At 48.1% G+C, this 26121-nt stretch overlaps 1 protein-coding gene across 5 annotated transcripts, besides 6 other annotated features; it reads left to right on the top strand.

Annotated features, from left to right (window-relative positions):
• The first annotated feature begins 2825 nt into the window (after positions 1-2825).
• SLC43A3 (solute carrier family 43 member 3) lies at positions 2826-23452 on the top strand. 5 transcript variants are annotated; one of them, NM_017611.3, is made up of 14 exons: positions 2826-2863; positions 3754-3818; positions 4054-4417; positions 4736-4865; positions 6378-6424; positions 9033-9109; positions 9342-9434; positions 12519-12658; positions 13736-13833; positions 15300-15473; positions 15675-15791; positions 20285-20471; positions 21108-21231; positions 22510-23452. In NM_017611.3, exons 3-14 carry the CDS (start codon positions 4234-4236, stop codon positions 22612-22614), a joined length of 1476 nt encoding a protein of 491 aa, NP_060081.1. In that variant the 5' UTR covers positions 2826-2863; positions 3754-3818; positions 4054-4233; the 3' UTR covers positions 22615-23452. The 5 variants fall into 5 exon arrangements, with proteins under 5 accessions (NP_060081.1, NP_001265130.1, NP_955361.1 ...); NM_001278201.2 differs by lacking the exon at positions 2826-2863 and adding an exon at positions 3285-3340 and having other exon boundaries at positions 4017-4417; NM_199329.3 differs by lacking the exon at positions 2826-2863 and adding an exon at positions 3285-3344.
• Positions 3166-3525: a silencer, noted in NCBI's record as "silent region_3346". NCBI's record gives its function as "represses an Ori minimal core promoter by ATAC-STARR-seq in GM12878 lymphoblastoid cells {active_cell/tissue: GM12878}" and the evidence as "EXISTENCE:reporter gene assay evidence [ECO:0000049][PMID:35858748]".
• Positions 3669-4868: an enhancer, noted in NCBI's record as "CDK7 strongly-dependent group 2 enhancer chr11:57193011-57194210 (GRCh37/hg19 assembly coordinates)". NCBI's record gives its function as "activates an origin of replication core promoter dependent on BRD2, BRD4, P300/CBP, MED14 and CDK7 cofactors, with strong dependence on CDK7, by STARR-seq in HCT116 cells {active_cell/tissue: HCT116}" and the evidence as "EXISTENCE:reporter gene assay evidence [ECO:0000049][PMID:35650434]".
• Positions 3669-5353: a biological region, named in NCBI's record as "CDK7 strongly-dependent group 2 enhancer GRCh37_chr11:57193011-57194210".
• Positions 3768-4560: an enhancer, noted in NCBI's record as "H3K4me1 hESC enhancer chr11:57193319-57194111 (GRCh37/hg19 assembly coordinates)". NCBI's record gives its function as "activates a minimal SCP1, AML or CMV promoter by ChIP-STARR-seq in naive H9 embryonic stem cells {active_cell/tissue: H9 hESC(naive)}" and the evidence as "EXISTENCE:reporter gene assay evidence [ECO:0000049][PMID:30033119]".
• Positions 4561-5353: an enhancer, noted in NCBI's record as "H3K4me1 hESC enhancer chr11:57192526-57193318 (GRCh37/hg19 assembly coordinates)". NCBI's record gives its function as "activates a minimal SCP1, AML or CMV promoter by ChIP-STARR-seq in naive H9 embryonic stem cells {active_cell/tissue: H9 hESC(naive)}" and the evidence as "EXISTENCE:reporter gene assay evidence [ECO:0000049][PMID:30033119]".
• Positions 15329-15829: an enhancer, noted in NCBI's record as "H3K4me1 hESC enhancer chr11:57182050-57182550 (GRCh37/hg19 assembly coordinates)". NCBI's record gives its function as "activates a minimal SCP1, AML or CMV promoter by ChIP-STARR-seq in primed H9 embryonic stem cells {active_cell/tissue: H9 hESC(primed)}" and the evidence as "EXISTENCE:reporter gene assay evidence [ECO:0000049][PMID:30033119]".
• Positions 23453-26121: the final 2669 nt, after the last annotated feature.

The following is a 26121-nucleotide window of genomic DNA, read 5'->3' as shown; positions in this document are numbered from 1 at the left end:
CAAGAGGATTAGAATTTTCTCTGCAGGTGAAATGATGTTTGCATTTACCTTTTGCTTTCTGACTTCCAAAACAGGCTGTAGAAACCCCTTTCAAGACCGTAGGTGGAAAACCAAACATTTTAATTTACATGAGCCCATTGTGAAAGGAAAGCTTATGTTTGTTTGTTTATGTGTTTGGCGTATCCGAAATCAAAGCCCTTTATGTGAATGGCTCAGAGTTTATCTACATATACAAATTTAGAAAGTGATGTCAGAGGGTAGGAGAGAATATCTGGACTCTGCCCAGAGAGTGGCAATTGCCCTCGCTGAGGTTGTTCAGAGGAAGTTTGAGGAGAGAGGTCTGTGGACAGGCAGGGACTGCATTGGAAGGTGGTGCTCTTGAGGACTAGAGGATACTAGCCATTGTTTGTGCCAGGGGAATGATGGAGTGCAGCTCACTTATACTGCCCTCTTTGGCAAACCCTCTTTCCCTAACCTAAACATATCCATCTTCCCACTCTGTCCATAAAAACATCCATAGGGTGGATCCTGGATATCCAGACTTGCTGATGATGGGAAGGAAAACCACCTCCAGCATTGGTACTTGGGCAGTAGGATGCAGGAGATCCAGTTCTATGCTCCCTCTTCCCCTCAAAGCAATGTCTCATGGCTGGCATCCCCAGACCCTGGACTGGTCCTTACCAGCCAGTTGACTGGACCTCAGAAGGGTTTTGAGCAGTTAAGTGAAGCCATCCAGTGGGAACCATGGAAATAAACTCTTGCAGGAGAATGGCGATGGCTTGGAAGCAGATGATGCCTCTGTGAGAGATGATGAGTGTCTGCATAGAGCAGTGGCCACGGATAGATAGGAGAGATATTAAGGGGTGAAATCAATAGGACATGATTGATTGATGTGGGCTGAATTCTTAATGCCCTCACTTAGATGGCGACGCTGGCCTCAAATCTTTCCACTTTCTTCACCACCCTGTGCTCTAGCTGGTTCCTAAATGTTATTGTTTTGTTGAGGTTCCGTGCCTTTCAATGTGCTGTGCTAGCATCTGCCTGGAAGACCATTCCCACACTCCAGAAATCTTGGGTTTCTTTGTCTGTCTCTCCCACAAGAGAATGAGCCCCTTGAGAGCAGGCACTGAATCTCTTCTCTACGAATCCCGGCACTTGGCACAGAGCCTGAGGTACCACATGTATTTGTTGAACCAATCAGTCAATTAAAAAAAAAAAGGTGTGAGATGATGAGGAAGGAGGCGAAGAGAAAAGGATGAAGACATCGGGTGCACCGTCAGACCTTATTATAATCACTTCTCTCTCTGATGTTACTCATTAATCCTCATTGGAGCCACGCAGGAGAGTGATCAGAATAGCATCTGCCTTTTCTAGCTGCTGGAATTCGAACCAAAGAACATGGGAATGGTTCAGAGGATATTCTAATTTCCTGTCCCATCAGTTCAGTAAGACTTGTGTTAGTGGAGGCCACGTCTTCTGCAGACATTGATGGGAGATGTGGAGTGGAGGCTCTAAGAGTCAAGAGAGGTAACAAGATAAGGTGGACAGAACCCTGGACGACCTGCCCCGTGTCCCGTGCTTCAGTCCTGGATGTACAGATAGCCCATGAGCTAGATCTTTCTGGCAGGCTCCTGCAGATTAACATTCTAAAATCTGTCTCTTTACTTTGACTTTTTTCTGTTTCTCCCTTGCTACTTCCACACTTACTGATCCCCCCAGGAGACTAAAATGTATGCCAGAGCAGAAGATAGGGCATGCATTAATTTCAGAGTCTTTGTGTCTTGCAGTAAAATAGAAAATCTTGCATCTTAAGCCCTGTTTGTCCTGGGATGCTATATTTTTGTGGATTTTCTCCCATAAATAATGTTATTTTAAGAAAAGACTTGTTTTCTCTAATGTCCAAATGTTTGTTAAGACGGGGTGATGAGAGCATACGTTTCAGAGTTGGGAAGGTACTGCAGCTTTGTAGAATGACCGTGGGCAAGTTCCTTTGAAATTCCTCCCCAGAGCTGCTTCTCTGGCTCTGTCTACATAACTGCAGACTAGAAAATCTACTACCCTACAATCTGCCTATAGCACCTGCGCCATGCAGGGACCTCATACACCCATCTTATACTTCTTTTATGACAATTCCTATAATTAAGGTACTATTGTCCTCGTCTTACAGGTGGGGCAGCCAAAGAGCTTGCCTCAGGTTGTATAACTAGTGAGTAGCTTGGGGTACAGGACCCCAGCCACCCTTCCTCCATTCAGTCAAGTCACTAGGGTGGTTGCAGACTTTTATCTTTTGTGCTTTGGTGGTGAGCTGGAAAATCCTCAGTTCTGGCTGTCCCCTATCGTAACCTCTATTTCTTCCTCTTAAAAAAAAGAGGAGTGGGCTTGGAATAGCTGGAGTTCCTGGGCCCTCAGGGGATCCAGGTAGCTGGGGTTGGGAGTCTGCAGACTGCATCTAATACGCAAGAAGCTCTCCCCAAACTGAGCTTTTGGCAAGGAAACGGCCACACAGGCCAAAGAAGACGTCAGCTCACGTGCTCTGGGCTGGAAGGATAGTAAGGCAGCTGCTTAGTAAGGCCTCACGCTGATCACAAGCTCCGATGAGCAATTATATATGTCTTTGATTAATAAAAAATGGGGCAATGAATGGTTAATCAATGCAGTCTGGCGGGAAGGCTCTTTCAGAACCTGGGGGGCGGGGGTGAGGCAGGGAGTCATCTAAGGGGTTTTTGGGAGTGAAAATATGGGGCAGTCCTCCAGGGGATGGTTTCTGAAAAGCCCTCAGTCCTGGTTCTTGGCTTCCTGATTCTGTGGTTGGGATTTTTTTGGCAGCTCTGGGAGTGTGAAACTGGGAGAGACGGTTAAGCTGGTGAGCAAATAGGAAAAATATGTTCCCTGCCAACCCAGCGGTCAAGGCAAAATGCACAAATAGAGTGTGTGTGTCCCTATGCCCTCATGTGCTGTCTGTGTGTCCTCTGGGTGCTGGGTGTGACATTTTCCCTAGGTGGGCCTGAGCGAGTAACAGCATTCAACTAACTTGGTTAGGGGAGGCAGAGGCAAGGGGGCTGGGAGGCTGAAAGGCAGCGAGGAGGGAGGGAAAGACACCGCTGGGGTTCTAGGGGGTTCTAGAGGGAGAAGTTTCAAGAGGGAGAGGTAAAAAGGGCGCGGGAGGCTGTGAGCAAGGGAAAAGAAGAAGGAAGTGATGGAGAGTGGGAGGTCTGCCCCAGCCCCTTCCGGGCGGGCAGGAGGGGGCGGAGGCGAGCAGGGGACTGGGAGGGGCTGCGAGAGGCGCGAATGCGAACCTGGCCCGTGCGGAAAGGGCGCGGAGAGCCCCGGCGCGGAGCAGGCGGGTAGGGCGAAGGGTCCCCTTTCGGGCGCCATGGGGCGCCGAGCGCGGCCTGGCCCCTCGGGCTCCTCTGCGGGGAGGGCAGGCCGCAGGCTGGAGCGGGGTGCGGAGGCTGGCGGGGAGCGGCCCCCGGAGGCTTTCCTGGTAGAAGTTGATGCGAGGAAGGGCGGCGGGGACCAGGTTTGCGAGTCCTAGGCGAGGGTCATGGGAGTTGGGGGTATTTCTGGCAGTAGAATGGCCTGCGTCGTGACTAAACTAGCCCTGTGACCTTGGGCAAGTTCCTGAAATCCATGGGAGCTTTTGTTTCATTGTCAGTAAACTGAAGATAACACCAACTTGGCAGCGGGAGTTTGTGTCTTCTGTATGAAATCTCCCTGCCTCTGCACCTGGTTGAGTTGCTGTCATTATTTTAGGGGACGGTATTCAGAATTCGAGCGCAGGAGCTCCGCTTCTCCACCTGCTCCCGGGGAGCTATTGGGTAAGTCGTTTATCTCACCTGTGACTCCAGGTGGCCATCAAGACCTGCCTCTCTACTTGCCACGTGGTTACTCAAATGCAGTGCCTAAGATGATGTATTGGAGTATTTATTCCCCACATTTGCTGCCAGCGGCCATGATCATCCTGCCTCTTAATGCACCTCACAAATAACTCTAGTCTACCTTTCCCTTTCCCGCAGGCCTCCTCTTCCAGCAGCCTCTATCTTTATTCTACAGGATCCAGAGAATCACCCGCTGATGGTTTTTGCCCAGGCCTGAAACAACCAGAGAGCTACGGGAAAGGAAGGGCTTGGCTTGCCAGAGGAATTTTCCAAGTGCTCAAACGCCAGGCTTACGGCGCCTGTGATCCGTCCAGGAGGACAAAGTGGGATTTGAAGATCCACTCCACTTCTGCTCATGGCGGGCCAGGGCCTGCCCCTGCACGTGGCCACACTGCTGACTGGGCTGCTGGAATGCCTGGGCTTTGCTGGCGTCCTCTTTGGCTGGCCTTCACTAGTGTTTGTCTTCAAGAATGAAGATTACTTTAAGGATCTGTGTGGACCAGATGCTGGGCCGATTGGCAATGCCACAGGGCAGGCTGGTAAGGGCAGGGATGACTTTTCTAAGGAAGTTAAGTCTGGCTCCCACGTGGTGGCAAGGAGCAGGAAGGACTCTGCCCCCTGCCCACCCCTCTTTCTATGATGAGAGGAAGGGTCAGCAGCTCTCACCCCACTTGATCTGGGAAGTGCCTGGGAGGGAGGCACCAGCTCCTGAGGGGTAATTAGGGGCAGCCACATTTCAACTCAGCTTAAGGGACAAGTTTGCGACCGACAAGCTGTCTGAGGTGGAGGGGAGCCCAGCCTGTGTGCTCATTTGGCAGGAAGGCTGGGATGCATGGGAGACCTTTTTTCTACTCCAGACTGCAAAGCCCAGGATGAGAGGTTCTCACTCATCTTCACCCTGGGGTCCTTCATGAACAACTTCATGACATTCCCCACTGGCTACATCTTTGACCGGTTCAAGACCACCGTGGCACGCCTCATAGCCATGTAAGTCCCAAAGGCCAGCCCAGGCAAAGGTGGGTAAGAGGAATCCTTCAGGCAGCAGCCTAGCTTGGAGTGAAATCCAGAGTCAGACAGCCCGGCCACCCTGCCAGGCACCACACCTGCAGCTCGCTCCCAGCAGCTGTTAGGAACAGCCCCAGGCAGCGGGACTCTCTCTAGACTTGCCCACTTCACCACAGCCCCACTTCCATTTCCTTACCTCGTTCCCTGCTCTGCATAAATGTGGCTTCCCTATCACGTGCTGAATTGAGCCGGAGGCCAGGGTGACTTCCTGTAAGGGCTGGCTTGGAGCCAGGGTTACAAAATTAGCAAAACCTAAAATTGCTCTTCTCTTCCTTCACCCCAAGGATCCTTGTCCTCATCCCCTGCACAGCCTCACATCCAGGTTGCCCAGGCTTCATCCTCATCCTCCTCACCGCCCCCCCTCCCCGCCCCAACAGCCAATCACTCCCTAGGGGCTTAGCTAATAGGAAGTTTCTTTGGTATTGCCACTGGTGGAATTTCAGGTCCCTTCTGACTGGAGGGGAGACTGGGGGGGTTTCCTGTGCAGATGAGTCAGAAGGTTCGGGACGTGATCTCACACACAGTGTGTTGCTGCATCCTAATCTCGTGCTCTGTGGCCAGGCTCAGTGGTAATCAGCGGCCTGCTGGGGGCTGATACAGCTCAGAGCAGGTGCTCCCAGGGAGGCACATGTGAGATTGGCTGTCAGAGAGAGAGACGGGAGGGCTGGCTGGGCCTGCCTTTCCGGAAACAGCCAGAGTAAAGCCAGTCCCTTACAATTTAAGCCTTTGGATGCAGAATGACTGTACCTCAGTCCTTCTTGGTCCTTGGCTCCCTGCTACCTCCCCTTTCCTCCCCTTCCTTTGTCCCCTCCCTCTTCTCCAGCCTTAGGATATTGCTTTTTTTTTTTTACTCCATGCCTTACAAGACCCCCAAATGCTAAGGGAGCCTGATAACCTTGGGACTGTAGTCCTGAAATCATAGCACTCTGAGCTAGATCAGTCCGATCATTTCTTTTTATAGAAAAGGCTCCTGAGGCCCAGAGAAGGACAGCGCCTTGCCCAAGGTCACAGAGTGAGGAGGAGTTAGAACTCAAGGCCTTGATTTGCAGACCAGGCACTAACCCCTTTCTCCAAGGGGTTGGGCTGTTGGGGCTTCCAGGTGGGAGGACCTTCGCTTTGCCCATTCTGTCCTGGCTAAGTCCCAAGCCAATCACATCGTCAGCTGAGCTCATTGTCCAAGACTTTCCATGCTAGCCTTGGGCCTCAGAATGAGCAAAATGCACTGTCCATGAGGTCAGGACCACATCTCAATCTCATCGCGGCTTCTTGCGCCTGGTTTTGAGCCTGGGGCTCAGAGGCATCAGTGCCCGTTGCATCCCAGGCTGAGGGTGCGGTCAAGTCCTACACTTGTGGGCTGGCTGAGCAGAATCATGTTTTTTCTCCCAGGTTTCTCCCTCCTTGACAATATTCTGCTTTTCCTGTTATGTGTTTCAGATTTTTCTACACCACCGCCACACTCATCATAGCCTTCACCTCTGCAGGTGAGTGCTGTCAGGTGGGTGGGAGGGATGCAAGCTCAGAGGCACCTGGTGGCTGGGGCAGGTGTGAGCAGAGGGCTATAGGCAAGATATACAGACCACATGGTTATTCAGAGATCTGCAGCTTGAAAGAATCCTGGAAGGATCTTGAGCTATTGCTGGTCTGTGAAAACAGTTTATTGAGAAAATGTGAAAAGCAAGGATGATGGAGAGGGATTACTTCAGAGAGTAGAATTTATTCAAAACTTTACATCTGGCCAGGTGCAGTGGCTCACTCCTGTAATCCCAGCACTTTGGGAGGCTGAGGCGGGTGGATCATCTGAGGTCAGGAGTTCAAGACCAGCCTGGCCAACATGGTGAAATCCCTTCTCTACTAAAAAAAATACAAAAATTAGCTGGATGGTGGTGCGCGCCTGTAATCCCAGCCACTCAGGAGGCTGAGGCAGGAGAATTGCCTGAACCCAGGAGGCAGAGGTTGCAGTGAGCCAAGATCACACCATTGCACTCCAGCCTGGGTGACAAAGTGAGACTCTACCAAAAAACAAACAAAAAACCCTAAAAAACAAAACAACAACAAAAAACCTTTACATCCTTCTCCTATGTGTTAAAATGTTCTCTTTCTCTTTTTAATGAAATGATTATATGAATGACCATTTTGCAAATATCCTTACTTAGCAGGGTAAAAGTTGACAACCCTATTGTACTCAAAATCTTTGTTTTAAAATTTCACCAGTCTGTTAAGTCTGGAACTCCAATCTGGTTTATTTTCCACCACCCTTCCACCCATTACACAGAGGAGAAACTGAAGCCACAGCAGGACCCCTTGCAAAGACATGTCCATGGCCACAGAGAAAGCAAGTGGGAGGTGGGCCTGATGTGCAGGCCTCCTGATCCCTCACTCTTCTTTCTGTCATTGCCTTGGTTATGGTGGCCACGAGATGCCTCCCAATATTCCTTCCTAGTGTTAGACCCGTGGCTCAATTTTTGGTTTAGGAAAGAAAGTACATTACTCTTGTGTGTGTAAGCTATGCTAAAGCTGACAGCATCATGAGATTGTCTGCACTCATGCTGGGCAAACACAGAGGCTGAGTGTCTTTGTTCACACAGATCTCATGAGATGGCCCAGCACCTCAAACCAATTATTTCAAACCACTCTCCTTATCAAACCAGCATCATCTACTCTAAAAGCCTGTAAATGATTTTTAAGCAACTGAATGTGGAGGTGGTGGCTGGGTAATGTTTGACTCGTGCCTGCAAATCGTCTGAGCAACAATCCTCCTCTTCCTCCATAATATAGGGCTTTTCAGTTTTGAAAAAAGCATTGAGCCCATAAGGACTCTATTGTGAAAGGAGTCTCCAACCTTTAGTAGTAGGAGAGATGTACATTTTATAAAGACAGAAATTGAATGGTAAACTGTGTGAATACTCTAAAATTAGCTCTTGGCAGTGCTTCTTAAGGTATAGCACGGTAGTTAAGAGGATGTTAGGGGCACACGCATACTACGTGAACTACACTAACAAACATCAAATCACCTGGTAGAACAGCTATTCCCTTTTTATTTCTCTTTCAGTCCTTCTGATTTCATGAAAGAATGTCTTCATGTGGGGCCAGTGTGATTTTAACACTGATGGGAAGAGCAGGTCTTAGGCTTTGAACATTCTAAGGTCAAATGCATCCAGCTACAATTGAATAACATTGTTTTCCTTTCATTGTATTTATTTTGACAGTTACTTTCTATTCATGACAAGTAATGCCAGTGTTTTCATCTACAGTAGTGATATAAAGTGTCCTTTAAAAATAGATACTTTTTGGATAAAAGTGAGTCAACTTAAAACATTTTAGCAAATAATAGGACAGGCATAGGTTGTGGCCAGAATAATGGTGGGCAGAAGTCTGGTTTGGGGAGGAAGAATTTGTCAAGGGTTCCCCTAGCCCAGCTCTTGAGCTTTTTTGCTGTGGTCTCACACTTACCAGACCTGTTATAACCATTTGTTTGCATGTCAGTCTATTTAAGGGCAAGGACTATCTGATTCATCTTGCATTTCCAGTGCCAAGCACAATGCCTGGCACCAAAGAAGTGCTCAGAGTTTAGTGAACAAAGAAAAGACCATGGTCCTTTTCTCACTCAGTTCTCATAGCACCTGAGACAGGAAGAGCAGGAACTGTTGTTCCCATTAAACAGATGATTGAAGCTCAAGGCCAATACCATGAATTAGGGAATGGGCTAGAGGGTTGAGCCAGGGACCTGAGTCCAGGGTCTTCTTTTCCAGGAGTGTCAAGGATGAAAGGGAGAGGCAGCTTGTGGTTTACTGAGGGAAGAGAGAGGTGGCTTCACTTAGAGCTCTGCCTCTGTCTGTAGACTTCCTGGCCTGCCACAGACTGAGGACCAACTTTGGTTGGGAAGAAGGTGGCTCAGAAGACTTCCACAGAGATATCTGGGGAAGCCTTGGCCGGTATCCTAAAAACCCTTGAAGGACGCTGGAACGCTGGCTAGAATTGGGGCCTGGATACCAGGATTGTTGGGAATTTGGAGCAGGTGGGAGCAGAGTTTGGGGCTCCATGTTTGGGTTGCACTATGACACCACCCTACCTCTGACTTTGATGGTCCAGGCTCAGCCGTGCTGCTCTTCCTGGCCATGCCAATGCTCACCATTGGGGGAATCCTGTTTCTCATCACCAACCTGCAGGTGGGAGCCTTCCCTAATCCCAGGCACTCGGCAGGGTGGCGGGAAGGTGGAGGGAAGGAGAGACCCTTTTCTATAATTGGCTGCCTCAGATGGGGTTGGCCCAAGCTGAGGTGGGAGCTCTAGCGGTGGAGGGTGAGTTTGGGTATAAGGAGGGTCTGCCACATGCTGGGTGCTCAGGAAGTATCTGTTTCATGAATAAATAAGTGATCCAGGCTAGTCCTATCATCCCCAGATTGGGAACCTATTTGGCCAACACCGTTCGACCATCATCACTCTGTACAATGGAGCATTTGACTCTTCCTCGGCAGTCTTCCTTATTATTAAGGTAAATATAGCAACAGCCTACATTCACTGGGCACTTGTATATGCCAGACACTTGTCTTGTGAACCTGCATTATTTGTCTCCATCAACTCGGTGAGGTAGGTACTGTGTTACCCCCATTTTACAGATGAAGCATTTGAGTCTCTGAGGTTAAAAAGCTTGTTGAAGGTTCTGCAGCTAGTAGCCATGATACTGGAACTTGAACCCAGGCTTGTCGGTTCTAGAGCCTGAGCTTGTAACCGCTAAGCCCCTTCTTCAGACTTGCCCAAGCTTTTGTGGCAGTGGTCATAATGTGCTTGGGCCAGTGTTGGGTAGAGGCTGGGGGACCTTTAGAGTGGGGCGTTTGCTGCTGTGAGCTTCTAGTTTGGACAAGAAGGTGGCAAGTGGCTAGTGGGTACAGCAGGGGCAGACACAGAGGCTTGTCCAGCTGTCCCAGTGGCTGATGTTGGGGTATCAGGGGATGAACTGTTGCCAAGGCTATTAGAGGTCAATCAACAACCATTCTGTCTTATTCATTGCGAACAGTTTTATCTGGGCAGTGACCCGCTTAGCCCAGGGGATGAATCCTGATTGATTAAAGCCAACCATGGCAATCCATTTACCCGTTGCTAGTGATAGGTGGAGGTCAGCATATGATCCAGTCCTTTTTAATGAGATAAAGGGAGTGTATATAGTGGAAGATTCAAGGGGACTTTTCTTCCCTGACGCAAGGTGAAAGCAGAGTAAAAACAAAGTCTTCCTCATTGAATGTTGTGGTGTGAGGATGTGATAGCTGGAGTTGTGGCAACCATGCTTCAATTATGAGGCAGCAAGCTGGAGGACTAAAGCCAGCACACCACAGATGGCTGAGTGAAAGGAAGGGAAGAGTGTGGATCTCAAGCCATCCAACCTGGGACTTCTCTCTGGGCTTAGTGTTAGGTCACAGGCAGTTGGCACTGCCTGCAGGTTATGGGGGCAGAGAAGAGGATCTCTGGCAGTCACCACCCAGACATGAGTCTAGCTTAGTCCCATAAGCTTTGGAGGTTTGGAGGGTTATGCAGAGACTGAGCCCCTGAGGCACTCAAGCCTTTCTACTCCTGGCATAAGAGTCACTTTCTGGGTTCTCCCTCCTTCCCCTGGAGAACCCAGATGGCTGCCTCATCTTTCTTTCCTCTCTCTTTTTTTTTTTTTTTTATTATTGAGTTGGAGTCTCACTTTGTCTCCCAGGCTGGAGTGCATTGGTGGGATCTTGGCTCACTGCAATCTCTGCCTAGTGGGTTTAAGCAATTCTCCTGCCTCAGCCTCCTGAGTAGCTGGGACTATAGGCGTGCCACCACAGTCAGCTTATTTTTGTATTTTTAGTAGAGATGGGGTTTCGCCATGTTGGCCAGGCTGGTCTTGAACTCTTGACCTCAAGTAATCCGCCTTCCTTGACCTCCCAAAGTGCTGAAATTACAGGCATGAGCCACCATGCCCAGCCTCTCTCCTGTCTCTCTAGAGTTGGAAGGGGAAAGGGAGCAGGAACAGGAATTCTTAGTTTAATCTGACTTTGCTGCTGCTTACTCTGTCAATTTATTGAGCAATTCACTGCACCTCTCTGGACCTCAACGTCACTCTCTGTAAAATGGGAGGAGGTTGGGCTAGGTCGGTGGTTTTCAAACTGAGCTGTTGAGGAACTTAGGGATTCTCTTTGATGTCATACCAGTCACCAAGGAGAATAAAGAGGGAGATGACTGGCAAGCTCCCCATTGGTGTGTTTTGTAAGATGAATTTTTGTGTAAAATTTTCTTTGAACAAAAGGCCTTTGCTGTCGTTGGGGGAAAAAAGGCACTGGGCTAGAAGATCTCTGGGGAGCCACACGAGGAGGCTCCACCGGCTGTGGGGATGGGTCGTATGAGGACTCCTCTACTGCCGGGTGTGTCTTGGGGTGGGTGGGGGCATGTGTGTACCAGGTGTCCCTAATCAGCTTACAGGATAGTAGGTGATGGCTTGTACTAGGACTCCTTAGAAAACAGGGTTCCAGCCCCTGCCTCTTCTGCTGATGTTTTTGTATGCAATAAAATATACATAACATAAAATTTACTATCTTAACCTTTTTTTTTTTTTGAGACAGAGTCTCGCTCTGTTGCCCAGGCTGGAGTGCGGTGGCAGGATCTTGGCTCACTGCAACCTCCGCCTCCCGGGTTCAAGCGATTCTCCTGCCTTAACCACCCGAGTAGCTGGGATTACAGGTGCGTGCCACCATGCCCCACTAATTTTTGTATTTTCAGTAGAGACGGGGTTTCACCATGTTGGCCAGGCTGGTCTGGAACTCCTGGCCTCAGGTGATCTGCTTGCCTCAGCCTCCCAAAGTACTGGGATTACAGGCATGTAATCATGTAATCATATCCTCTCACCTCAGCCTCCCAAGTAGCTGGAATTACAGGCGTGCACCATCACGCCCAGCTGATTTATTTATTTATTTTTAGTAGAGATGAGGTCTTGCTGTTTCCCAGGCTGGTCTCAAGCTCCTGGACTCAAGCAATCCTCCTGTCTTGGTCTTCTAAAGCACTAGAATTACAGGCAGGAACCACTGAGCTTGGCCCTGCATAGTGCTCTTAAAGTTCATCCATGTTGCAGCATGTGTCAGAATTTCTTTCCTTTCCTTTTTTTTTTTTATTTGGAGGCAAGGTCATGTTTCATTGTCCAGGCTGGGGTGCAGTGGCCCAGTCATGACTCACTGCAGCCTCAAACTTCTGGGCTCAAGAAATCCTCCCACTCAGCCTCCTGAGTAGCTGGCACTACAGGTGTATGCCACCACACCCAGCTAATTAAATAAAAATTTTCTAGAGAAGGGGTGAGGGTCTCACTATGTTGTCAAGGCTGGTCTTGAACTGGGCTCAGGTGATCCTCGTGCGTCCCAAAGTGCTGGGATTGTAGGTGTGAGCCAGCATGGTTGCCTCTTTCCTTTTTTAAGGCTGAATAATATTCCATTGTGTGTATAGATCACATTATGTTTAGCTGTTCATCTGCTGATGGACCCTTAGTTTGCTTCCATCCTTTGGCTATTGTGAATAGTGCTGCTATGAACGTGGGTGTGACACTGACTTTTTCCTTCTCCTTCTGCAGCTTCTTTATGAAAAAGGCATCAGCCTCAGGGCCTCCTTCATCTTCATCTCTGTCTGCAGTACCTGGCATGTAGCACGCACTTTCCTCCTGATGCCCCGGGGGCACATCCCATACCCACTGCCCCCCAACTACAGCTATGGGTAAGGACTATCTGGTGATTGTGGGCCAGAGCCCCTCATTGGCCCTAGGGTGGGATGGACAGGGTAAAGCAAACCTATCACAGGAGAGGAGGAGGACTGGAGCAGTGCATCTGTTAGCTATTGCTGCATAACAAACTATCTCAAAACTCAGCAGCCTAAAATGTTAAGCATTTATTATTTTTCACAAGTCTGTGGGTAGCTGGCTAGTTCCGCTGATCAGGGCCAGATGTAGATGATTTTGACAGGGCTCATTCATACATCTGATCATTTGGAGGATTACATGGGGGCTGGCTATGCTAGGATGGCCTCACTCACATAGGTTTGGAGTGACAGGGATGCCTGGGTCACGTGGCTGTCATCCTCCAGCAAGCCAGCGTGGGCTCATTCACACCGTGATTTCAGGGTTCTGAAAGAGTGCAGAAATGCACAAGCGTTCTTGAGATTTAAGCTTGGAATTGGCACAGCCACTTCTGCTGCATTCTTTTGGCTGAAGCAGTTCACAAGGCTGGCCCAGATTCAGGGCATGGGGAAATAGAGCTGCAGTCTCATTCAAATTGGGGGAAATACAGAGGAGGTGAAGAAATGTGATCATTTTTGCAGTCATTTGCCACAAGGAGTAGAGGAAGGGCATTCCTTTGCTGCTCACTTACTAATTGTCAGACCCCATGTGCTCTCTGATTTCATCCTCACAATAATCCTCTGAGATATCCTTATCTCCATTTTCTAAATGCAAAAAATGAGGCTCAGAAGGGTTAAGTCTGAGCCATCTTTCTGTTGCTAGGAAGAGGCAGAGCTGGGATTTGAACCTGGGCCTGCCCTACTCTTTTCATGCTTCCTAAACTTTGCTGCTTATTAGAATCACTAGATTCACATAGAGATCTTAGAAAAGGAAGCCTGGCTCTCACCTCCAGACATTCTGATTTAACTGGTCTGGTCTGCAACCTGGGCATCAGAGTGGCTAAAAGGTGATTCCAAAGTGCGGTGGAATGTGGGATTCACCATGCTATTCCCTCCAGTCTGAGTCTCAGGTTCGGCTCACAGTCCTTGGCCTTGCTGGTGGGGCTTTTGTTTCCATAGCCTGTGCCCTGGGAATGGCACCACAAAGGAAGAGAAGGAAACAGCTGAGCATGAAAACAGGGAGCTACAGTCAAAGGAGTTCCTTTCAGCGAAGGAAGGTGAGCCCTGCTGGCTAACCCATCTCTCCTCCAGACCCAAGCCTCTCCTTGTGCCTTTCCTGGCCCCTCACCTCCAGAGCTCCCCCAGGGACCCAGAATCAGGAAAGGCAGGACAGAAAAAGGGCCTTAGGCATCTTCCCAACCCTCTCACTTAATGGAGGGTCCAGGGCTTTCGTCTCTTTTCTGTCCCTCTTTTCTCTATTTCGCATCCTATCACTTCCCCACCCCTTGAAGCCCGCCTGCCATGGGTTGCCTTCCCTTCCCCCCACTCCTCGGTTCTGCCCTCTTCTGTGATGCCATTGCACTAAGTCTGGTACAGTGCCCCCATTTCTCCAGGTCTCCTGGGTCCGCCCTCTCTTATTGTCCCAACTCTATCACTGCTTCCTTTCCTTCCTCTCTGTTCTGCGTCTTTGGTTACACACATCACAAACCGCAGCTAGCTACAGTAGAAATAAGAACGGGGTGGGAGAGGAGATGGGAGATGCAGGTCGAAGGACAAAAAGGAGCAGATGAGCAGGATGAACAGGCCTAGAGATCTAATGCACAGCACGAAGACTGTAGGTCATCAAACTGCATTGTGTTTGGGACTTTCCTAAACAAGTAGATTTTAACTGCTCTTGTCACAAAACAGGTAGAAATGTGAGATGATGGATATGTTAATTTGCTTAACTGTAGTAACCATCTTAGTAGCTATATGTATCCTATGACCTCATATTGTATATCTTAAATATACAGAATAAAATTGATTTTTTTGTTTTTATTTTTACCATCTGACAATTGGATCCAAAACATGTATTTATTTATTTATTTTAAAGAAAGAAGAATAGGGTTCTGGGAAGCTTCCAAAATCAAGGGAGGACATTGAACTTGCCAGGGTGTAGGACCTATTTTAGATTAAGTCCATCCTAATCTAAACTCATGGCCGGTCTGCCTTGTTAGGAGGAACCATCTCATTGGTTAACCTTGAGAGAGGAACAGAACACTGAATTCATGGTCCCATCTGGACCATGAAGATTAGGGTAGAGGAAGATTTCCCAAAGAAACTCAGGATACTGGTATCAAAAGAAAGGGAGGTGCTGAGGAGCAGGTTAGAACAGAGTATCCACACTCATTCTCCTCTCCCTTCTGACTTTCTCCTCTCCTTGTCGTTCCTTTCACCTTTCTCGCTGAGAAAGATCAGGAAGGTATTACTGCAAGAAGTGTCATTGACCAGGCTGTGAGAGACAGATCGGATTTCAATAGAGAAGAACACAGAGGGTCATCCAAGGTGGTAGGGCCAGCATGACAAAGCAGGGAGGTGGGGATGTGTGAGTCCGAGGCAGGTGCAGAGCACGCCGGGTGAGTTCTGGGAGCCAAGGGTAGAAGGTGGGCCCGGATCTGAAATGTTCCATTGAAGCCTCCACACTCCCCATCCTACCTGTCCACTTTCCTCGTAATTCACGCCCAGATCCTCCTCTCCCCATTAGAGACCCCAGGGGCAGGGCAGAAGCAGGAACTCCGCTCCTTCTGGAGCTACGCTTTCTCTCGGCGCTTTGCCTGGCACCTGGTGTGGCTGTCTGTGATACAGTTGTGGCACTACCTCTTCATTGGCACTCTCAACTCCTTGCTGACCAACATGGCCGGTGGGGACATGGCACGAGGTATGTGGTAGGGCTGGGAGGTAGCCCATCTGCATGTCCCAGCTGGGAACACAGAGCCTCCCAGCAGGGCTGTACACACCAGAGGAGGGTCTGATGGTGTGGGGAGGAGGGACATGCAGACAAGGGTAAGGTGGGAGAGTCCCTGCCTGGAAGGGAGTTTTGGAAACTTCTCATCAACCAACCTCTCTCTTCCTTCTGCAGTCAGCACCTACACAAATGCCTTTGCCTTCACTCAGTTCGGAGTGCTGTGTGCCCCCTGGAATGGCCTGCTCATGGACCGGCTTAAACAGAAGTACCAGAAGGAAGCAAGAAAGACAGGTGAGATGCGGGGGAGGGCAGGGGCTGGTCAGGGAACCAGGAAGGGAGGTCTTCATTTACCCCATGACATCTTCTCTCGCTCTTTTTTTTTTTTTTTTTTTTTTTTTTGTGATAGAGTCTTACTCTGTTGCCCAGGCTGGAGTGCAGTGGTGTGATCTCAGATCATTGCAGCCTGCACCTCCTGGGTTCAAGAGATTCTCCTGCCTCAGCCTCCCAAGTAGCTGGGATTACAGGCGTGTGCCACCATCCCCCACTAATTTTTGTCTTTTTAGTAGAGACGGGGTTTCACCATGTCAGGCTGGTCTTGAACTCCTGACCTCGGGTGATCTGCCCGCCTCAGCCTCCCAAAATGCTGGGATAACAGGCGTGAAGCACCATGCCTGGTCTTCTCTTTTGTTCTTAACCCTGTCTAGTTGCACTCATTCATTCATTAAAACACTAGTCACTGAGTGATAGTTATGTGTCAGCCATGGTGCCAGACACCAGGGATTCAATGACAGACAAGATAGATGTGTTCTTTTTCTCAAGGTGTTCTCAGTCTAGAGGGTGGAGAAAGGCAGGTAGTCAGGCAGTTATAATCCGTGAAGCAAACCCACAGGGGGCCATGGGGGGCACAAAGAAGCGCACATAATCTGTTCTAGGTGAGGATGGGATTGGTGTCAGGGAAGGCTTCCTGGAGGGAATGGCACCTAAGCCAAGACCTGAAGGATGAGTAAGGAGGGAGGAGATGAAGAGGCGGGGCCTTGGAGAGTGGCCCAGGAGCACAGTGGGGTCAAAATGGTGAATGAGAGAGTGAAACATTGAGGAATCTGGGCAGATGAGTCGGGCTGGCTAGGGCACAGAGCACTGGGGAATCTTAGGGAAGTGGCTGGAGAGAGAGAGGTAAGAAGGGGTCAGGCTGTTTACCACATCAGGGAGTTTTGGCCTGATCCTTGGACCTGGTTGGAGGAGTAGAGGTATGCTGAGGTATTTTAACCTGCTGGGTCAGGAGGGACAAAAGTAGACTAACATTTTGCATACTTATTTCATCTATCCCTTCCCCCACCCATGCACCTGCTTCTCCCACACCTGCTAGAGTTTTCAAAGCAAATCTCAGACATCGTATCATTTCATCCGTAAATATTTCTCTATACCCGTACATGTATCTCTAACAAATAAGGCCTCTTTTACTTAAACATCACCATAAAATCATGATCACACCTAAAAAATAACAATAATTTCTTCATATCATCTACTGTGCAGTCACTGTTCAAATTCCTCCAATCATTTCAAATACATCCTTTTACAGTTGGTTTGTTCCAATTAGGATCCATGCCTGGTCCATGCAGTGTATTTGGTTGCTGTGTCTTCTATAGCTTTTAAAATCTAGAACAGTCCTCCCCCCTACCTTTTCTTGTTTATTTGTTGAAGAAACTGGGTCATTTCCCCATATTTTGGATTTGGCGTTGTTTTAATGTGTCATTTAAAAGTATTCCTTTCCTTGGGTATTTCCTGTAAACAACAGGATTAGAAGCTTGGAGGAAACGCAGTTTAATTTTTTTTTTTTTTTTTTTGCCGTGAATAACTCAGTGGTAGAGCTATGGGTTTCCTCTGTTCTCCTGTCAGCAGCCCCTGGTGTCTGTTGTCTTGTTACGATGTTAAGATTGATCAACTGGTTTAGACATTGCGAGTCTGATCCATCCACTATAAAGTTTCCCATCAACCATATACTTAGTGATTTTAGGAGCCATTAATGATCAATGCCTAGGCCCATTATTTCATTAGGATCGCAAAAGGATGATTTTCTTTTCTTTCTTTTTTTTTTTTTGAGACAGAGTCTCACTGTGTTGCCTAGGCTGGAGTGCAGTGGCGTAATCTCAGCCTACTGCGACCTCCGCCTCCCAGGTTCAAGCGATTCTCCTGCCTCAGCATCCCGAGTAGCTGGCATTACAGGCACCCACTACCTGGCTAATTTTTGTATTTTTAGTAGAGATGGGGTTTCACCATGTTGGCCAGGCTGGTCTCAAACTCCTGATCTCCAGTGATCCACCTGCCTTGGCCTCCCAAAGTTCTGGGATTACAGCCACTGCCCCTGGCCAAAAGGATGATTTTCTATTTCTATCTTCTACTTTTAATCACTAGAATTCTTCTAGAAAGAAAAACATTCCTTACTATTTTGTTACCCAGAAATAAATGCTTGGCTTACACATTTATTTACCAGTTTGAAATATGAGTTGGTGCCCTAGTGACCTTCAGGGATGGCTACTAATTGTTTCTTTTATAATATTTCATTTTAAAATATATTTGACATGTTTTAATCTGTTCTGTCATGATTCTTCTTGATGCTCAAATTGTCTCACCTTTGGCCATTGAAAACTTTACCAGCCCAGAATCTGTGTCTTTTAGATGAAATCACATTATTTCTAGAGAGTTTCCTTACTTTCTAACACAATTAAATGTTCAGGTCCATTTCACTAGGTGTGTTTCTTGCCCTAGACATGAAATTGTCATTTTTCCCAACTAGCCCTGGGTTTCTTTAATTGGAAATGGTAGAGACTACAGTCTGGATGCTGAGGTTTTTTATTGCTCCTGGGTTGTCACTGCTTTTGGGTTTTGGATAGAGTTAACATATATATAATTTTTTTATAAGAAAAATATCATAAATACTTAATACTGATATTTTTATTCAAATTTTTATTTCCTTGATTTTACATTTGTAGCCCTTTCTCTTCCTCTGATAAACTTGGTTCCTAACATATGCATATGTAAATGTACATACACATATATAGTATTTTAAATATAATTACTGGTTTTACCAATATTGATGTTACTTGATAACAATACAATTGCTAAATACTGTTGCTACTTCTTTGTTTCCTTTTTTCTGTCCTTCCTTATTCCTTTCTCATCCTTAGGATATATCCCATTAGAGATGTACAGTCAAATTGCCATATTTTCTTCTTTATTTTTAGGGATGAGGTCTCACTCTGTTGCCCAAGCTGGAGTACAGTGGTACGATCACGGCTCACTGCAGCCTCAACCTCCTGGGCTCAAGTGATCCTCTCCCTTCAGCCTCCCAAGTAGCTTGGACTACAGGCATGCACTACCATGTCTGGCTAATTTAAAATAATTTTTTTTTTTTTTTTTTTTTTTTTTTTTTTTTTGTAGAGGAAGGGTCTTTGTTGCCCAGGCTGATGTCTAACTCCTGAGCTCAAGCAATCCTCTTGCCCTGGCCTCCCAAAGTGTTGGGATTGTGGGTGTGAGCCACCACACTGGGCCAAATTACTGATTTTAAGGGTCACTAATTTGGTATAGAGTTATGTTCATTGATTTCATTTTATTTTGTTTCTGATTTTTAAAGATTGTTTTACTTGTTTTCTTCCTATTATTATTTTATTTTATTTGTAAAACATTTACATATCAGACATTTACATTTTCCCAAAGGTAAAACTGTGAAACAAGATATATTCAAAGAAGTTTACTTTCCCTCTCTGTTTCTTGTACCCCTTTTCCTCTTCTTTAGGTAACCATTTTTATTTTTTTAAATATAAACATTGTGTAGGTGTATATACATGTATTAGTCTGTTTTCATGCTGCTGATAAAGACCTATCTGAGACTGGGAAGAAAAAGAGGTTTAATTGGACTTACAGTTCCACATGGCTGGCAAGGCCTCAGAATCATGGCAGGAGGTGAAAGGCACTTCTTACACGGTGGTGGCAAGAGAAAAATGAGGAAGAATCAAAAGTGGAAACCCCTGATAAACCCATCAGATCTCGTGAGATTTATTCACTATCACAAGAATAGCGTGGGAAAGACTGGCCCCCATGATTCAGTTACCCTCCCCCACTGGGTCCCACCCACAATACGTGGGAATTCTGGGAGATATAATTCAACGTGAGATTTGGGTGGGGACACAGCCAAACCATATCAATACATTTCCCTCTCTTTTAGATAAAAGGTAGTATACTGTATACACTATTCTGCAGAGTTTTTTTTTTTTTTGATGTAACTCTATCCTGAGGGTGCTCTGTAGCAGGGACCTCTCATGCCTTTTAACCACTGCCTGGGTCTCCATTACATGGCTGCAGCATAGTTGCCACAGCATTCCTGTACTGATGACTATTTGGATTGTTTCCAGTCTTTTGCTATTACCAGTAGTGTTACAAAGAGGATCTGGCTACATGTTCAGGGTGGGGAGGGGCAGATGTGTAGCCTGTCAGGAGGGTATTGCAGTAATCCATGACTGAGTTAATGGTAGTTTAAAGCTAGGATGAGTCAGTGGGGTTGGAGAGAAGTGGGCACATTTGAATGATATGTAGGAGGTGAATGATCAGCATTATTGATGAGTTTGAGGTGGGGCATGTGGGGAAAGGATTCGAGGATGACTCCCAGGTTTCTGTTGGGACAGTGGATGGATAGTGGCTCCTCCCCTTTTTCCAATCTTCCTTGGCCCTTCGCTGACTTCTGTTGGGTTGGCCTACAGAGAGCTTCTTTTTCCTCTCTGTTCGCCCAGGTTCCTCCACTTTGGCGGTGGCCCTCTGCTCGACGGTGCCTTCGCTGGCCCTGACATCCCTGCTGTGCCTGGGCTTCGCCCTCTGTGCCTCAGTCCCCATCCTCCCTCTCCAGTACCTCACCTTCATCCTGCAAGTGATCAGCCGCTCCTTCCTCTATGGGAGCAACGCGGCCTTCCTCACCCTTGCGTAAGTGGCCTTGGGGCGGGCTCTGTGGAGACGGACACACTGGGGCAAAGAGAAGCTGGAGGTAAAGAAATTGGGAGGCAAGGCGGGGCCTGGAGGCAGTCAGGTGCGGGAGACTGGGTTTGGGGGCAGGTGTGGAGGGGGTGAGACCAGAGGTGGTGGGAAGGATAGAACATTCATGCACTTGAGCCTTTACATCTGCGGTGCCCTCTCCCTCTGTTTTCTACCTGGTGAACTCGTATTCATCCTCTGAGGCCCACTTCTGTTTCAGTTCTCCAGGGAAGAAATGGAAAAGTGTCTTCCCTTCTTTGTGCCCTTAGTACTCTAGTCTTACTTCCTTTGCTAGTGCGTGCATTGTCTGGCATGCCATCCATTTACATGCCTGTCTTTTCTTTCCTGGTGCAGCCTGCATGAGGGTCCTGTCTGTTTTTCCAGGGCCCCGCATGTGCCTTCTTCTGGGTTCTGTGGGTCAAATGTCTGAGCAGAGCTGAAGAGGGAAAGGCCAGACAGGTGTGGTTGGAGGGCAGGCCTAGGACAGGGGAGCTGGGGACAAGCGGCCGACAGCCCCCAGAGGCCAGGCTTCTGCTTGGAGGGAGGGTCCCTGAAGCTCACTGGAACCCCTCTGGTTTCTCTCCCCAGTTTCCCTTCAGAGCACTTTGGCAAGCTCTTTGGGCTGGTGATGGCCTTGTCGGCTGTGGTGTCTCTGCTCCAGTTCCCCATCTTCACCCTCATCAAAGGCTCCCTTCAGAATGACCCATTTTACGTGAGTACTGGGAGGATGGGGATCCCTGGCAGGAGGCCTGGGCCTTAGGCCTTGGCTGCCCCAAATCTGGCTGTGATGGCCTGGGTATGTAGCATGGTGCAGCTTCCCAAAGGGTCTGTGTTATTCAAGTATTTGGGGCAAAAGTATTTGTGTGTGTGGGGAAACAGACATTCTGGAGTAGGGTGGGGAATTCTCACGAAACTTCAAGCAAAATCCTGAGACCTCAAAGGTGTTTCCTGCTTGTGGTGAGTGCAGGCCCACCCTGGCCTCTCCCCTAGGCCCACACAGGGTTTCCACAGTTGGCCCCAGGGACAGGACCTCTGTGCTTTCACCTCTGTGTCCTTACACCTGGAGGGATGCTCTGAGGTCCTGCTCTAGGAGGTGGTCGTGAGTCTCCTGCTCTTTGCAGAAACTGAGGCTCAAAGAGGTTACTTACGTGTTCAGAGGCACCAGCTAAGGAGCAAAAGTCAACTTTGAATTCTGTGTTTTGACTACTGCACAGCTCTATTTGCCTCATTTTTTATTTTTAAAGCAGCAAATCTTAGAATAGGAGTTTAAATCCATCACTTGGAGAAAAGAAAGACTAAATGTTTTTTGTTTTTGTTTTGGAGACACGATCTTGCTTTGTCACCCAGGCTGGAGTGCAGTGGCACAATCTCGGCTCACTGCAGCCTCGATCTCCTGGACTCAAGCGATCCTCTCATCTCAGCCTCCTGAGTAGCTGACACTACAGGCATGTGCCACCATGCCAAGCTTATTTTATTTTATTTTTTTGATAGACACTGGGGTTTCGCTATGTTGCCTGGGCTGGTTTTGAATTCCTGGCCTCAAGCGATCCACCCGTCTCTGCCTTCCAAAATGCTGTGATTACAGGCGTGAACCACTGTGCATGGCCAAAAGAGTAAACTTGAAATCTGAGGCGAATGACTTGATTGTGACATCAGGTGACCTAGTAATCAGCTGTGTATTCTAGCTGGTGCCTCTACCAGCTTCCCATGTGACCTTGAACATGTCATTGAATGCTCGCTAGGCCTCTGTTTCTTTATCTGTGAAATGGGCTTGATATTCCTCCTCTACCCCAACCGATAGTGCAGAATGAAAAGTAACTGAAAGTCCTTCCTCCAGGGCACCATAGTGTCTGGGTGAAAAGTAGAATATAAACTCGGTAGACTTCTGGTCCCTTCATTGGTCATGGAATGGACCAGTGCTTGCTTCATTGAGCAACAGTTCTGTTGTTCAGAATTCCTGGATTTCACCTCACTTCTGCTCTCCCTGCAGGTGAATGTGATGTTCATGCTTGCCATTCTTCTGACATTCTTCCACCCCTTTCTGGTATATCGGGAATGCCGTACTTGGAAAGAAAGTCCCTCTGCAATTGCATAGTTCAGAAGCCCTCACTTTTCAGCCCCGAGGATGGTTTTGTTCATCTTCCACCACCTTTGAGGACCTCGTGTCCCAAAAGACTTTGCCTATCCCAGCAAAACACACACACACACACACACACACACAAAATAAAGACACACAAGGACGTCTGCGCAGCAAGAAAAGAATCTCAGTTGCCAAGCAGATTGATATCACACAGACTCAAAGCAAAGGCATGTGGAACTTCTTTATTTCAAAACAGAAGTGTCTCCTTGCACTTAGCCTTGGCAGACCCTTGACTCCAGGGGAGATGACCTGGGGGAGGAAGTGTGTCAACTATTTCTTTAGGCCTGTTTGGCTCCGAAGCCTATATGTGCCTGGATCCTCTGCCACGGGTTAAATTTTCAGGTGAAGAGTGAGGTTGTCATGGCCTCAGCTATGCTTCCTGGCTCTCCCTCAAGAGTGCAGCCTTGGCTAGAGAACTCACAGCTCTGGGAAAAAGAGGAGCAGACAGGGTTCCCTGGGCCCAGTCTCAGCCCAGCCACTGATGCTGGATGACCTTGGCCTGACCCTGGTCTGGTCTCAGAATCACTTTTCCCATCTGTAAAATTGAGATGAATTTTGGTGTTGAAAGTTCTTCCTGGAGCAGATGTCCTAGAAGGTTTTAGGAATAGTGACAGAGTCAGGCCACCCCAAGGGCCATGGGAGCCAGCTGACCTGCTTGACCGAAGGATTTCTGACAGACTATCTTTGGGGATGTTTTCAAGAAGGGATATAAGTTATTTACTTTGGGCATTTAAAAGAAAATTTCTCTCGGGAATAATTTTATAGAAAAATAAAGCTTCTGTGTCTAAGGCAACTACTGTTTCCATCTCTCTAGGCTTTGGGCCGGGGCTGTGTGTGTGTGTGTGTGTGTGTTTGTGTGTATGTGTATGTTTCTGAGGAGGCCCTACCCTGGCATGAGAGGGTAGGGAATCTGGCTACACATCTAGTGTGGCAGCTGGACCCAGAGGTGGGGCAGGAACCCTGACTATGATTCACCCCGCTGGTCCTGGGATGTGGGCCCAGAGACTTCCTCCCCCAGGAACCCCTCTGCTTCCTCTTCCTCTCCACATCCTTAACTAACTTTAGCAGAACCCTACTCCTCACTACACACCCCCAGCTAGAAGCGCTGGATGGAATCAGAAATTCCTAGTTTGAGTTTCAATTCTGCCCCTCAGCAGCTGGGCAAGCCCCTTAACCACTCTGAGTCACTAGTTCCCCACCTGCAAAGTGCAGTTAATCATTTCTATCTCTGATGGCGATTGTGAGAATGTAAAGTCATTGCAACTGCCTAGCACATGGTAGGAGCACATGAGGGTTTGCTCCTGTGTTTACTCATGACCCTTGGGGAGGACGGGGGCAAAGAGGGAGAAGTTGAGGGTGCAGGAGGAGAGATGGCAGGTGGGTGGGATGGGAGAATCTGGGGCACACCTGCTGTCTCATTCCCACCTTGCTAGGAGAGGGACTAGGAAAGAACAGTGGGAGGCAGGGGGATGGGGGTGGAAGGCAGGGGGTGGCAGGCAGGTTCATCCATCCATTCATTCAACAAATGTTTATTGAGCACCTGCCACGTGTCAGGCCCTGTCCTGGGTGCTGGGGCTATAAAGATGCAGAAGGGTCTGAAACCCAGCTCTTCCTTCTTCCTGTGGATGTCGGGGTGTAATTTCCAGGGGCCAGGAGCCTGGGTCTGAGGGCGGACACCAAAGTTCTAGTGGTGTCTATTAGCAGCGTTTAAATCTAATGGATGGATTTGGTCTTGTTACCCTGCTCAAAAGCTTTCAGCAGCTCCCCACTGTCCACAGGACAAAAATCCAGATGCTAGCCTGGCATTCAAGGCTGTCACTAGTGTGATCTCAACCTCTCCCCTTCCCTCTTTACCTCCTACCAACAGCGGGGCAGAGCCCACCCCTGTGGACCAAGATTCCCAGTCTCTGGGTCTGTGTGTGCACCAGTTCCTCTGCGTGGGTGGCTCACCCTGCCTCAGCTTGTGAAATCCATCTGGTCTGCTGGGATCCTGCTCAAAATGTCATCTTCTCCAAAAATCATTACTCAGGCTTTCCAGCATGTCTGAGTCCCTGGCACTTGGTCACACCCTTCCTGGTGACTGGCATTTGCCTCCACATCATGACCCTCCCACCCCTTGCCTGGGCAGCATACTCCAGGAGGCAAGGTCTGTTCTCGCCTGGCTCTAATTAATCTGTGCTTACCATCCACATGGTACCAGCTAATTCTTGTTGAATGAATGATCGTTGAATGAGTGGATTCTTGTTTTGGCCTCAGAACCAATTAGAAGGAGCCAGAAAAACACATGGGGGTGGGGGAGGTGCAGTGTGGTGCAGTGGAAAAAAACCCTTCTGGAAATCTCAGCTCTGTCACTTACTTTGTCAGCTCTGTGACTTTGGATGGACCACTTCTTTGTCAGTATGGTGGGAGAAATAGACATGCCTCTCTGGGCTGTTGTAAGGATTACAAATTAGGTCGAGTGCTTGGCATGTGGTGGGTTGAACAGATCACAGCTAGCATTACAGATGATATATTAAAGCCAAAAAAAGATGCCTAATGTCCACCAGTTGGTGAACGGACAAAGGAAATGTACCATATTTGGGATATTATTTGGCAATCAAAAAAAGTACTGACACCTGCTACAACACGGATGAATCTTGAAAACATTAGACTAAGTGAAAGAAGCCAGACACAAGAAACTGCTAATGATTCCATTTAAATATGAAATATCGGGCCAGGGTGCAGTGGCTCATGCCTGTAATCCCAGCACTTTGGGATGCCAAGGTGGGCAGATCACTTGAGGCCAGGAGTTCGTGACCAGCCTGGCCAACATGGCGAAACCCCGTCTCTACTAAAAATTAGCCGAGTGTAGTGGCATGCACCTGTAATCCCAGCTACTTGGTTGGCTGAGGCACAAGAATTGGTTGAGCCTGGCAGGTGGAGGTTGCAGTGAGCCAAGATCGTGCCACTGCACTCCAGCCTGGATGACACAGTGAGGTTCCGTCTCAAAAAAAAAAAAAAAAAAGGAAAAAGAAAAAAAGAAATTTCCAGAATAGGCCAATCTGTAGAGGCAGAAAGTAGATTCATGATTGGGTAGGCCTGGGTGTGGAGGCCATGGGTAGTGATGGCTAATGGGGAAGGGGTTTCTTTTGGGGTGATGAAAATGGGTGGACTTATGGTATGTTAATTATACCTCAATAAAACTGTTATTTAAAGGAAGAAAAGATGCCTGGATTCCCCAGGAAGTGTACAGTAGACTTCTGTGAGAATCAGAAATGATTTCTGGGGAAGATGGGCGAGAGGAGAGTAAGTGGGAGAAGTGACCACGTGCGCAACTCTCATCGTTCTGCCCTGAGAGCCTTCCTCCTGCAACTTTATTTATTTATTTATTTTGAAACAGGTTCTCACTCTGTTACCCTGGCTGGAGTGCAGTGGTGTGATCTCAGCTCACTGCAGCCTCGACCTGCCAGGCTCAAGCAATCC

The sequence above is a fragment of the Homo sapiens genome, chromosome 11 (genome assembly GCF_000001405.40).
Source record: "Homo sapiens chromosome 11, GRCh38.p14 Primary Assembly".
Classification (NCBI taxonomy): domain Eukaryota; kingdom Metazoa; phylum Chordata; class Mammalia; order Primates; family Hominidae; genus Homo; species Homo sapiens.
Note: the sequence above shows the minus strand (reverse complement) of the source record. Positions and strands in the feature narration are given on the sequence as shown.